The sequence below is a fragment of the Homo sapiens genome, chromosome 4 (assembly GCF_000001405.40).
Source record: "Homo sapiens chromosome 4, GRCh38.p14 Primary Assembly".
Taxonomy (NCBI): Eukaryota; Metazoa; Chordata; class Mammalia; order Primates; family Hominidae; genus Homo; species Homo sapiens.
Window position 1 is genome coordinate 122941720 of NC_000004.12, and position 12702 is coordinate 122954421.

The window sequence follows — 12702 nt, forward strand, 5'->3', positions numbered from 1 at the left end:
AAGGGAATGCTTCCAGTTTTTGCCTATTCAGTATGATACTGGCTGTGGGTTTGTCATAGATAGCTCTTATTATTTTGAGATATGTCCCATCAATACCTAATTTATTGAGAGTTTTTAGCATGAAGGTTGTTGAATTTTGTCAAAGGCCTTTTCTGCATCTATTGAGATAATCATGTGGTTTTTGTCTTTGGTTCTGTTTATATGCTGGATTACATTTATTGATTTGCATATATTGAACCAGCCTTGCATCCCAGGGATGAAGCCCGCTTGATCATGGTGGATAAGCTTTTTGATGTGCTGCTGGATTCGGTTTGCCAGTATTTTATTGAGGATTTTTGCATCAATGTTCATCAAGGAGATTGGTCTAAAATTCTCTTTTTTGGTTGTGTCTCTGCCCGGCTTTGGTATCAGGATGATGCTGGCCTCATAAAATGAGTTAGGGAGGATTCCCTCTTTTTCTATTGATTGGAATAGTTTCAGAAGGAACGGTACCAGTTCCTCCTTGTACCTCTGGTAGAATTCGGCTGTGAATCCATGTGGTCCTGGACTCTTTTTGGTTGGTAAGCTATTGATTATTGCCACAATTTCAGATCCTGTTATTGGTCTATTCAGAGATTCAACTTCTTCCTGGTTTAGTCTTGGGAGGGTGTATGTGTCGAGGAATGTATCCATTTCTTCTAGATTTTCTAGTTTATTTGCGTAGAGGTGTTTGTAGTATTCTCTGATGGTAGTTTGTATTTCTGTGGGATCGGTGCTGATATCCCCTTTATCATTTTTTATTGCGTCTATTTGATTCTTCTCTCTTTTTTTCTTTATTAGTCTTGCTAGCGGTCTATCAATTTTGTTCATCCTTCCAAAAAACCAGCTCCTGGGTTCATTAATGTTTTGAAGGGTTTTTTTATGTCTCTATTTCCTTCAGTTCTGCTCTGATCTTAGTTATTTCTTGCCTTCTGCTAGCTTTTGAATGTGTTTGCTCTTGCTTTTCTAGTTCTTTTAATTGTGTTGTTAGGGTGTCAATTTTGGATCTTTCCTGCTTTCTCTTGTGGGCATTTAGTGCTATAAATTTCCCTCTACACACTGCTTTGAATGTGTCCCAGAGATTCTGGTATGTTGTGTCTTTGTTCTCGTTGGTTTCAAAGAACATCTTTATTTCTGCCTTCATTTCGTTATGTACCCAGTAGTCATTCAGGAGCAGGTTGTTCAGTTTCCATGTAGTTGAGCAGTTTTGAGTGAGTTTCTTAATCCTGAGTTGTAGTTTGATTGCACTGTGGTCTGAGAGACAGTTTGTTATAATTTCTGTTCTTTTACATTTGCTGAGGAGAGCTTTACTTCCAACTATGTGGTCAATTATGGAATAGGTGTGGTGTGGTGCTGAAAAGAATGTATATTCTGTTGATCTGGGGTGGAGAGTTGTGTAGGTGTCTATTAGGTCCACTTGTTGCAGAGCTGAGTTCAATTCCTGGGTATCCTTGTTAACTTTCTGTCTTGTTGATCTGTCTAATGTTGACAGTGGGGTGTGAAAGTCTCCCATTATTATTGTGTGGGCGTCTAAGTCTCTTTGTAGGTCACTCAGGACTTGCTTTATGAATCTGGGTGCTCCTGTTTTGGGTGCATATATATTTAGGATAGTTAGCTCTTCGTGTTGAATTGATCCCTTTACCATTATGTAATGGCCTTCTTTGTCTCTTTTGATCTTTGTTGGTTTAAAGTCTGTTTTATCAGAGACTAGGATTGCAAGCCCTGCCTTTTTTTGTTTTCCATTTGCTTGGTAGATCTCCCTCCATCCTTTTATTTTGAGCCTATGTGTGTCTCTGCACGTGAGATGGGTTTCCTGAATACAGCACACTGATGGGTCTTGACTCTTTATCCAGTTTGCCAGTCTGTGTCTTTTAATTGGAGCATTTAGTCCATTTACATTTAAAGTTAATATCGTTATGTGTGAATTTGATCCTGTCATTATGATGTTAGCTGGTTATTTTGCTCATTAGTTGATGCAGTTTCTTCCTAGTCTCAATGGTCTTTACATTTTGGCATGATTTTGCAGCAGCTGGTACCGGTTGTTCTTTTCCATGTTTAGTGTTTCCTTCAGGAGCTCTTTTAGGGCAGGCCTGGTGGTGACAAAATCTCTCAGCATTTGCTTGTCTGTAAAGTATTTTATTTCTCCTTCACTTATGAAGCTTAGTTTGGCTGGATATGAAATTCTGGGTTGAAAATTCTTTTCTTTAAGAATGTTGAATATTGGCCCCCACTCTCTTCTGGCTTGTAGAGTTTCTGCCGAGAGATCCGCTGTTAGTCTGATGGGCTTCCCTTTGTGGGTAACCTGACCTTTCTCTCTGGCTGCTCTTAACATTTTTTCCTTCATTTTAACTTTGGTGAATCTGACAATTATGTGTCTTGGAATTGCTCTTCTCGAGGAGTATCTTTGTGGCGTTCTCTGTATTTCCTGAATCTGAATGTTGGCCTGCCTCGCTAGATTGGGGAAGTTCTCTTTGATAATATCCTGCAGAGTGTTTTCCAACTTGGTTCCATTCTCCCCGTCACTTTCAAGTACACCAATCAGACGTAGATTTGGTCTTTTCACATAGTCCCATATTTCTTGGATGCTTTGTTTGTTTCTTTTTATTCTTTTTTCTCTAAACTTCCCTTCTTGCTTCATTTCATTCATGTCATCTTCCATCACTGATACCCTTTCTTCCAGTTGATCGCATCGGCTCCTGAGGCTTTTGCATTCTTCACGTAGTTCTCGAGCCTTGGCTTTCAGCTCCATCAGCTCCTTTAAGCACTTCTCTGTATTGGTTATTCTAGTTATACATTCGCCTAAATTTTTTTCAAAGTTTTCAACTTCTTTGCCTTTGGTTTGAATTTCCTCCCGTAGCTCGGAGTAGTTTGATCGTCTGAAGCCTTCCTCTCTCAACTTGTCAAAGTCATTCTCCGTCCAGCTTTGTTCTGTTGCTGGTGAGGAACTGCGTTCCTTTGGAAGAGGAGAGGCACTCTGCTTTTTAGAGTTTCCAGTTTTTCTGCTCTGTTTTTTCCCCATCTTTGTGGTTTTATCTTTGTTTGGTCTTTGATGATGGTGATGTACAGGTGGGTTTTTGGTGTGGATGTCCTTTCTGTTTGTTAGTTTTCCTTCTAACAGACAGGGCCCTCAGCTGCAGGTCTGTTGGAGTTTGCTAGAGGTCCACTCCAGACCCTGTTTGCCTGGGTATCAACAGCGGTGTCTGCAGAACAGTGGATTTTCCTGAACCGCGAATGCTGCTGTCTGATCGTTCCTCTGGAAGTTTTGTCTCAGAGGAATACCCGGCCGTGTGAGGTGTCAGTCTGCCCCTACTGGGGGTGCCTCCCAGTTAGGCTGCTCGGGTGTCAGGGGTCAGGGACCCACTTGAGGAGGCAGTCTGCCTGTTCTCAGATCTCCAGCTGCGTGCTGGGAGAACCACGGCTCTCTTCAAAGCTGTCAGACAGGGACATTTAAGTCTGCAGAGGTTACTGCTGTCTTTTTGTTTGTCTGTGCCCTGCCCCCAGAGGTGGAGCCTACAGAGGCAGGCAGGCTTCCTTGAGCTGTGGTGGGCTCCACCCAGTTCAAGCTTCCGGGCTGCGGCTGCTTTGTTTACTGAAGCAAGCCTGGGCAATGGCGGGCGCCCCTCCCCCAGCCTCACTGCCGCCTTGCAGTTTGATCTCAGACTGCTGTGCTAGCAATCAGCGAGACTCCGTGGGCGTAGGACCCTCCGAGCCAGGTGCGGGATATAATCTCCTGGTGCACCGTTTCCTAAGCCCATCGGAAAAGCGCGGTATTAGGGTGGGAGTGACCCGATATTCCAGGTGCTGTCTGTCACCCCTTTCCTTGACCAGCAAAGGGAACTCCCTGACCCCTTGCACTTCCCGAGTGAGGCAATGCCTCACCCTGCTTCGGCTCGCACACGGTGCGCTGCACCCACTGTCCTGCACCCACTTTCTGGCACTCCCTAGTGAGATGAACCTGGTACCTCAGATGGAAATACAGAAATCACCTGTCTTCTGTGTTGCTCACGCTGGGAGCTGTAGACCGGAGCTGTTCCTGTTCGGCCATCTTGGCTCCTCCCCGAACTTTTTGTTTTTTACTGTCTAGTGGCAGAAAGTAAATATGTGAAAATAATATAAAGGTTTGGCACTAAGTCACTTATATACTAACGTGTTAGTAATTTTAAGAGTCTGTAAGAGAAGGGTTGTCACCTGGTGGAGGCTGCCTGACTAACTGGTTCTCAGTCTTGGAACAGTACCTAGGAGTGATTTTCATGTCCCAGGTTGATTCTCAGGTTATAAAGTTGAAGAATTCAGTGTTATTAGTAGGCTGGAGATGATAGAGTTGTGAGGACAGACTGACCCATGATAATAACACTTACAAGAGAATCATGTATAAAATAGTGTCCTAGTTTGTCCATTTACAGTAAGAGATGTGACTGTTAAGCAGACCAAATGTTTGTGTTTATGGATGACCATATTTTCACCTTGATGGCAAATATAGAGAGCTGTCTTATAATTACAAGGGTTCTTGGTAGGTAGGAAATCAGATGAAAGGCTTAGTGTTGGAGAATCTTAATTATTTCAATCTGCTGTCTCTTTCTCTGCCACTGGGATAAGCCTGTTGTGGATTAGTATTCTTGCCTTTGGGCAAGGAATGGAAACATGTGATACTGATGTTTTAGTCTGAATATTTTTAAGGGTCTGTTTTTGTACTTCTAAACTTATAATTCATAGATTCGCTGTAGTCCATGCATTGTCTGTTGGCACATTCAGTATAATTGATTAGGTTTGAGCTTTTTTTAAATTTTTTTTTTTAACATAAATTGCATTCCAGTTATGCTTGTCTCTGGGTCATCTGAATAGAATATTGGATAATTTCTACAGGTGGCTGATCATGATCATAGTTCTTTATTATTTGGTTTTCCTAATTTCATTTTCAGAGAGTAAAAATACCTATATATTCAAATGTGGCTGATACTTGGATATTGGTTATATTGTTGACTCTTATTTTCAGGAATTTAAAAATGTATCCATATTAAAAAAACTAGTCTATAAGCGAAGACTTTTTAGATAACTTTCTAATAGAATCTTGTTCTATTTGAGTATTATATGTGTCAGAATCCTGACTTTCAAGTAGGGGAAAAGGACTGTTTAAAACAATTAAAACAATTATATGGTACATATTATATATATGTTATTTTTTATGAGAATGATACAGTTAAGATGTGAGAAGTAAGAGAGATGTCATAGTAGATGGAGAGGTGAGTATTGTAAAACTTTCTACAGGAGGAAGCATTTAGGCTGAACACTGAAAAATGTATAATAAAAGTAATAAATGTATAATAAAAATGTATTACTAATAAAAGTAATTGATAGGTAATGAAAGCGTAAGAAATAGGACTTAGTAGCCTGGACAGTTAGATGTTTCATCCTTGTCTATACAGCCAGTGTGTGCCTCTCACTTTTTTTTTTCTAACTTTCAGAAAAATAAATTTATTTTCATTTTATTTTGTTAGGAAGTAAGTGAAGGACAAGTGTTGGTTCTTGGGGCCACAAATCGCCCTCATGCCTTGGATGCTGCTCTCCGAAGACCTGGGCGATTTGATAAAGAGATTGAGATTGGAGTTCCCAATGCTCAGGACCGGCTAGATATTCTCCAGAAACTGCTTCGAAGGGTACCCCATTTGCTCACTGAGGCTGAGCTGCTGCAGCTGGCAAATAGTGCTCATGGATACGTTGGAGCAGACTTGAAAGTCTTGTGTAATGAAGCAGGTGAGTGTGGTTTGCTATGGTGAGTCTCTATTGATGCACTTATCTCCAGTTTACTTACATACAAATAATTTATATTTTACAGATTTCTTAATGGAAGTAGCTTTGTTTCTAATTATAAAATGTGTAATTTTTATTTGAAAAAATTTTTATTGGAAAAACCTAGATGATTCAGAAGACTATAAAAAAAAATAAAAATCACTCAATCCTACCTCTAAAGGATAACCACCATTATAGTGTATACAGTCAGCCCTCCATATCCTTGGGCTCAGCATCTGAGGAGTCAACCAACTGTGGTCTGAAAATATTCAGGAAAAAAAAGTTAAAACAGTAAAAAATAATAAAAACTTAAAAAATATAGTATCACAACTACAGTTGACCCTTGAACTATGAGGGCTTGAACTGCATGGGTCCACTTATATATGAATATTTTTCAATAAATATATTGGAAAATTTTTTGGAGATTTGCAACAATTTGAAAAAGCTTGCTTTTTCTTTAGCTTACTTTATTGTAAGAATACAGCATATAATGCATATAAAAAATATGGTTAATCAGCTGTTTATATTATTGGCAAGGCTTCAGGTCAACAATAGGCTATTAGTAGTTAGTTTTTGGGGGAGTCAGAAGTTATGCATAGTTTTTTGACTGCACAGGGATTGGTGTCCCTGACCCCCAAGTTGTTGAGGGGTCAACTGTATTTACATAGCATTTACATGGGATCAGGTAAAAGTAATCTAGAGATTATTTAAATTATACGGGAGGATGTGTGTAGTCTATATGCAAGTACTATGCCATTAACGGGCTTGAGCAGTCCTTAGATTTTGGTATCTTAGGGGTCCTGGAACAAATACTCCATAGATACTAAGGGATGACTATATCCTACTAGACTTCTCCAGAGTATACACACACACACACACACACACACACACACACACACACACACACACGGACATGTAATCAGATCCATTGGTGGCGGTATTGATGATGACAATATTTATTGATATATTGTGCTGTGCTGTGGAAATCAGGGAGAAGTGTAAACTGGAGAATCACAATTTTCCTTAAAATTGAGTGTCATGCTGGACCCCTATTAACTTCAGTGGGATGGTACCAAGTTTGAGAGGCCAAAGAAGGGACCCAGAGCCAATAAATGAAACTTAGGGCTTATTTGGCAGAACTTACTTACAGGGCGGCCCAGTGGTGATGGGCTGGACAGGAGAACTGCAATCACTTGCAAAAAGCATGCAGCTTGTATAGCATTTTCACTTAGCATCCTCCCCCCAGCAACTTCCACATGGCAACCTCCTTTCTTAAGTTATTGCTTTCAGGTGCATCTGCCATATACTCCGCACCAGCATACCCTTGCGTGGCCCTCACATTCTTATGCCTTTCTGTCATGAGATCCCTGGGGCCAGGTATGTGGAGGAGCATTGCAGCCAGATGCTGCAGTAGCAATATAAACTACAATAACAAAAAAGAATAACAAATATAATAACAATCATACTGTATAGAAAGTTTTTCAAGGGCTTAGGAGTTGATTAAAACACGTGGTTATAGGGTTTTAAGACTTAGATTCTGTAGTGGAAATATGGGTATTTAAGGCCTGCATGGCCTGGGTTAGATCGTGAGAGTCATCAGGAATACATACACAACAGGTTTTAATTAATCCATAGGTTCCGCCCTTGTGGGGGCAGTTAAGATGTCCAGGGCCATGCAATTTTACAAAGAAGGGTGCATGACACACTATCTCTGTCTCACTGCTGTCATCCACTCTAGCCCATCATTGTGTACAGCCTACCTACAGTGGGGAGTGACATTAACTTGCTCCTTTACCAGGCGGAAAATATGCCATCTCACGTTGTTGGTGGTGGGAAACTTGCTGCATGAGGTGCTGTTGTCGCTGAAGGGGAATAGGTGAAGGTCACTATACCAAGTATCGAAGTGGCCCCAGGTACTCATGTTAACTGCCTTGGTGTGGCATGGCAGGCCCACAGCGGAGGAGAGGGGGAGCTCTCCGCAGACCCAGCAGTCTGTTTTCTTCTGGAGAGAGATAACCATCTGCACCCAGTCAGCAAAGAGGTTTGCGGCACACCATCTATGGGCAAAAGGTGAGTTGTTTAGTGGGTACAAGAAAGGACAAGTCCTGGCCATTTAACAAGACATGGGGAGTTGTGTCATTCTGAGAGAGCACCACCCCTGGCAGCAGCCTGATGCCTGGTTTACAATACCAAATGGACTGGCTCCCCTCTGTAATGTGTTGCAGGAGGCCAGAGGAAGACAGTGGAGGTATAGTGTTTCATGAGAGGATGTTCATCCCCTTGCACAAGGGAGGACTAGGATTCATTATTTTAGAATTACAGTGGAGAGTATGGTATGAAATAGGTGTGACATATATATCCTGTTCTAGGCCCTTCCCCCATGGAGCAGAAAAACTGAACCATCGGGCTGGTTTGCCATTTCCCAGAACCACGTAATGATGTGCTCCCCAGTAGGTTGGTCCTGTGGCAAGGGCCATAGCAGATTACTTTGTGTCCCAGGTTGGGGGCAAAGGTCTGCTGTCCCTTACCCTGTCTACCTGTATCCTGATGGTCGTATCACATCCTTGTGTTAGAAGAGTATACATGATGGGGTGATGAGAATGTGCATATTTATTCAGTTTGTGCACGGCTGCTGGTAAGCAGCGTGTCCACAGAGCCAACTCCTATAGGAGTTGTTTCAACAGTCCATTCAATTTGTTCAGTCAGCCCCACTGCTGTAGGGTTGTACGGCAGGTGAAAATGCCAGTGGATATCCAGGGCCTCTGCCTATTCTTGTACTTTATATCTGGTAAAGTACGAGCCCTAGTCATTGTTAATTTTTTTTTTTTTTTTGAGATGGAGTTTCGCTCTTGTTGCCCAGACTGGAGCGCAATGGCGCGATCTCGGCTCACTGCAACCTCCGCCTCCTGAGTTCAAGCAATTCTCCTGCCTCAGCCTCCTGAGTAGCTGGGATTACAGGTGTGTACCACCACACCTGGCTAATTTTTTGTATTTTTAGTAGAGACAGGTTTCACTATGTTGGGCAGGCTGGTCTCAAACTCCTGACCTCAGGTGATCCACCCGCCTCAGCCTCCCAAAGTGGTGGGATTACAGGCGTGAGCCACTGTGTCTGGCCCATTGTCACTATTGATGGAGACGCTGTAGGCTGCACACATCTGTTCTGGTCCTTTTATGGTGGCATGCTTGCTGGGTTATGCTCGTTGTAGCCCTGTGCAGGTTTCTGCACAAGTTAAGGCATAGTGGCAGCCATCCAATAGGGGCAAAGATCCTATGTAGTCTACCTGCCACCATTGTGCTGGGCTCTGGCCCTGGGTGATCTTTCTGGTATCAGGTGGCAAGGGCCTGGGGTGTTCCTGTGCACGGGTAAGACATTGCTGACAGATGTGTACTGTGTCTTTGTATCATAGTGGCAGGCTCCAATTCTTTGCTATGGCCCAAAGGGTAAGTTGTCCCCTATGTCCTGTCTTCTTTTGTAACCAGTTGACCACATCGTCTGTGGGGACTCCCTTGAGGAGACGAATGCAGGTTAATTTGTCTGCCTGTTGATTTCCAGGTTGGTGTAGATGCAGTGTGGGGATCCACATGGTAGATCATTTTATGCATCCCCCAGATGCAATGGGGAATGTCCTTCTACATGTCAGGGCACCAAAGGAGGTGACCTGCTACTGTCTAGTCCTGTGCTTCCCATTGTAGTAGCCACATGGTGAGTCCCTTTACATTGGATTAGGTAAAAGTAATCTAGAGATTATTTAAATTATATGGGAGGATGTACATAGGCTACATGCAAATACTGTGCCATTTTATATAAGAGGCTTGAGCTGTCCTTAGATTTTGGTATCTTAGGGGTCCTGGAACCGATACCCCATAGATACTAAGGGATGACTGTATCCTATCAGACTTTTCCAAAGTACACACACACACACACACACACACACGCACGCACACACATGTAATCAGATGCATTGTTGGCAGTATTGATGAAGACAATATTTATTGATATATCGTGCTGTGGAAATCAGGGAGAAATGTGTACTGGAGAATCACAATTTTCCTTAAGGAATGTCATGCCGGATGCCTGTTAACTTCAGACAGCCCACCTGTGAGTACACAGGACTGCTGGGTCTGGCTTATAGAGGAGGACCATCCTGGCAGCTTGCAGCTCAGCTCATTGGCTGCTATGTCCTTGGCCTGTATCATCAATCCAGATCCTGTCAGTGGATGGCTGGATGGCTATGCCTGCTCAAGTGCAAGGATTGCCTCGTGACAAGCTGTTTGTGTACCAGGCCTGGTCAGTCATTGGGCGGTCAGACATTGGGCCCTGTCTATCCTGTATGAAGGAGAGCATCTGTGGAGGCTCAGCAGCCTCCCTAAAAGACTATGTGACAGTTGTTACATAGATGACAGGGCCAAGCACTGAATGGAGCTCTGAGCTCAAGGGGCTATTAATGTGCTCCTTTGTTGCAGGTATGTAAGCCATTTGGCCACAGTCTGTGTCTGGGCATTCCCAGACTTCAGTTTCTGGAAGATACCCTTTAGCCAACCTGCTTTGGGGTACTGGCTGCATACTAGCATCAGGACCCCTTTTGTAATGTCCTCTACTTGTTGTAAGGCATAATGTATAGCACAGAGTTGTTGTTCCATCACACTGTATCTAACTGCACCCTTTTTCCGTAGCTGGGACCAGAATCCTAAAGGCGCATATGTATGTCTCTGCCTTTGCCACGGGCCTCACCCAAACCCCTCAAGGTAACTGGCTACATCTAGTTCACAGGCTGTCTCTGCACCTGAACTCACAAGGCTTGTATTTATTTCACTGTGACTTCAGCTGGTTCAAAGGCCTCATCCTTCTTCGTGGATTAGTCTCAGTGGGCCCCCTTCTTGACTAAACAGTATAGGGGTCTAAGGAGTTGGGCCAAATGAGGAATAAAATGATGCCCATACCCTAGGAGTCCTAAGAAGATTTATAGCTGCTTTGGTGTCACACGATGTGAGTAGGCCTGCACCCTATCCATAATGGCAGACTCAAGTATTTGGCTGATAAGCCTGGACTCTGGATTTTTGTCTGTGTTTATAGCTCATCCTGTTTGCCAGATGAGGCAGCAAGGTGTGAGGGCGCAGTTTGAAAGCTGGAAAAAGACTCAGAAGTTAGCACGATATCATCACTGTAATGGAAAATGTGTACCCCTTCCAGGACCTCCATGGCTATATAAATATCCCTGGGGCAAGATGGTAAAAGTCTATTGTTCTTCCCAGGTGAATGCAAATTGGTCTTGACTCTCTGCGGCAATGGGGATGCTGAAGAAGGCATTGGTTAAATCAGTAACAGAGTGGTAGTGGTATGTGTCCAGTGCCTCTCCCGCCCTCTTTAGAAGGGAGGTGATATTGGGAACATGTGCATACATTGGGGGGACTGCCTTACTTAATTCCCAGTAATCTAGTGTCATTGTCCATGTCCCATCAGGCTTCCACATGGGCCGTACATGGCTGTTGTATGGGCTGTGCACTGGCCTTGTAATGCCTCCTTGGGCTAACTCCTTAACAATCCCTGTGGTTTCATTATGTCCCCCCAGCAGGCAGTATTGCCTCAGTGCTACTACTTGCTGTGTGGGGTTGGCAACTAGACTGGTGTCCATTTCGCATTCCCCTTGGTCACATGCTTCACCACTCTCAGTCAGAACTCCCCAGCAGTTGTTTGGAGGGTCAAGCCTGATAAGATATCCATTCTCAAGATGTATTCCAAGATGGGAGCTATACATACTAAATAGGGTTTTGGTGGCAGTCTCTCAACTTGTAATACTCAGACAGTTCAACCTTTCTGATCCCCATCCATAACCATCTTTTGCCATTTTAGCCCCTTGGAACCAACGAATGTCACCATATATGAAAGTGCATTTGGCTCTAGTATCCACTAGGGCACGCACAGTGTGTTTATTCTTAGGCGACCAATATATAGTTAGTTCTACATGTGGCCTCTGGTCCCCAGGTACCCTGGCCACCATTACTCTTATCAGGGTTCTGGGGCCTTGGCTTTCATCCAGTCTAACAGGGTTGACACTTGCTATCCCTCTGCAGGAAGGGTGGCGGGCTGAACCTGAGGCTCCTTAGTGAAGCACTCTTCTGGTGTGAGCTTCTGCCACAGTCTGACCAGAACAGCATTAGGCTGTTTATCTGTTTTCATAGTAGCTGTTCCTGCCACTACCAGGTTGTGCCACATTTGTTGGTCAGTCACCCTGATGGGCCCCTTGGCCATCTCCTTTCCTTTGGCGCCCTTGTCTTTCATCCCAGCAGCACGTACCCTTTGCCTATGCAGTTTCTCCATTTCTCATAAGTTGGTGGCTGCTTGGGCCACCTGAGACACTGGCTGTCCTACTAGGGGGCTCTGGGTAGACACTAGCACACCATACCATTGGTTGAGTGCAGACTAAGATGGTGTCTTTCATGTTGGCAGTGAAAAGCTCTTTGTTGGACCTTGGTGATGTTCAGCATAGATAGCATGTTTCATCCCTAATTTCCAGATGATGTCCTGCAATTCCTCCATAGTCTGCCATCACAAAGGAGATATGGGGATACTGCCCTCATCTGGCCACGCTTCATTGCAGCCCACAACCACCCAGCTAAGGAGGGGCATGGCCTGATCCTCATTGTTGGCACCATAGAGGTGCTGCCTCAGGGCTGGGTGGCATGCGATGTATGCCATTCCACTCATCTTGAGTCTGGAGAGTATAACACCCTCCATCCCCGTGTCCCATAGACAGAGAAGCCACCTCTCAATCAACTGTCTCTCTTCCTGAACCCACCTTCTGCCCAGCTCCACTAGTTCCATAGTGGTGTAGTGCTGCATTGTGGTATGCTACCATCTTTCAGGCAGAGACAAGTTTTGTGGGTCTACTCCCTGCA

General features: G+C 43.8%; 1 protein-coding gene across 20 annotated transcripts in view, besides 2 other annotated features; it reads left to right on the plus strand.

Annotated features, from left to right (window-relative positions):
* The window catches only part of AFG2A (AAA ATPase AFG2A), a 396356-nt gene that overhangs the window by 18642 nt on the left and 365012 nt on the right, over nt 1-12702 (plus strand). For 14 of the 20 annotated variants that reach the window (XR_007096375.1, XR_007096376.1, XR_007096377.1 and 11 more), the window contains exon 9: nt 5514-5769. Coding sequence is in view for 17 of the 20 variants with exons in the window: in NM_145207.3 (NP_660208.2) it covers nt 5514-5769 (256 nt within the window). In the remaining 3 variants the exon portion in view is untranslated. The other 6 variants (NM_001438322.1, NM_001437913.1, XM_017007827.3 and 3 more) reach the window with 2 other exon arrangements.
* Nucleotides 3075-3602: an enhancer, noted in NCBI's record as "H3K27ac-H3K4me1 hESC enhancer chr4:123865949-123866476 (GRCh37/hg19 assembly coordinates)". NCBI's record gives its function as "activates a minimal SCP1, AML or CMV promoter by ChIP-STARR-seq in naive H9 embryonic stem cells {active_cell/tissue: H9 hESC(naive)}" and the evidence as "EXISTENCE:reporter gene assay evidence [ECO:0000049][PMID:30033119]".
* Nucleotides 3603-4129: an enhancer, noted in NCBI's record as "H3K27ac-H3K4me1 hESC enhancer chr4:123866477-123867003 (GRCh37/hg19 assembly coordinates)". NCBI's record gives its function as "activates a minimal SCP1, AML or CMV promoter by ChIP-STARR-seq in naive H9 embryonic stem cells {active_cell/tissue: H9 hESC(naive)}" and the evidence as "EXISTENCE:reporter gene assay evidence [ECO:0000049][PMID:30033119]".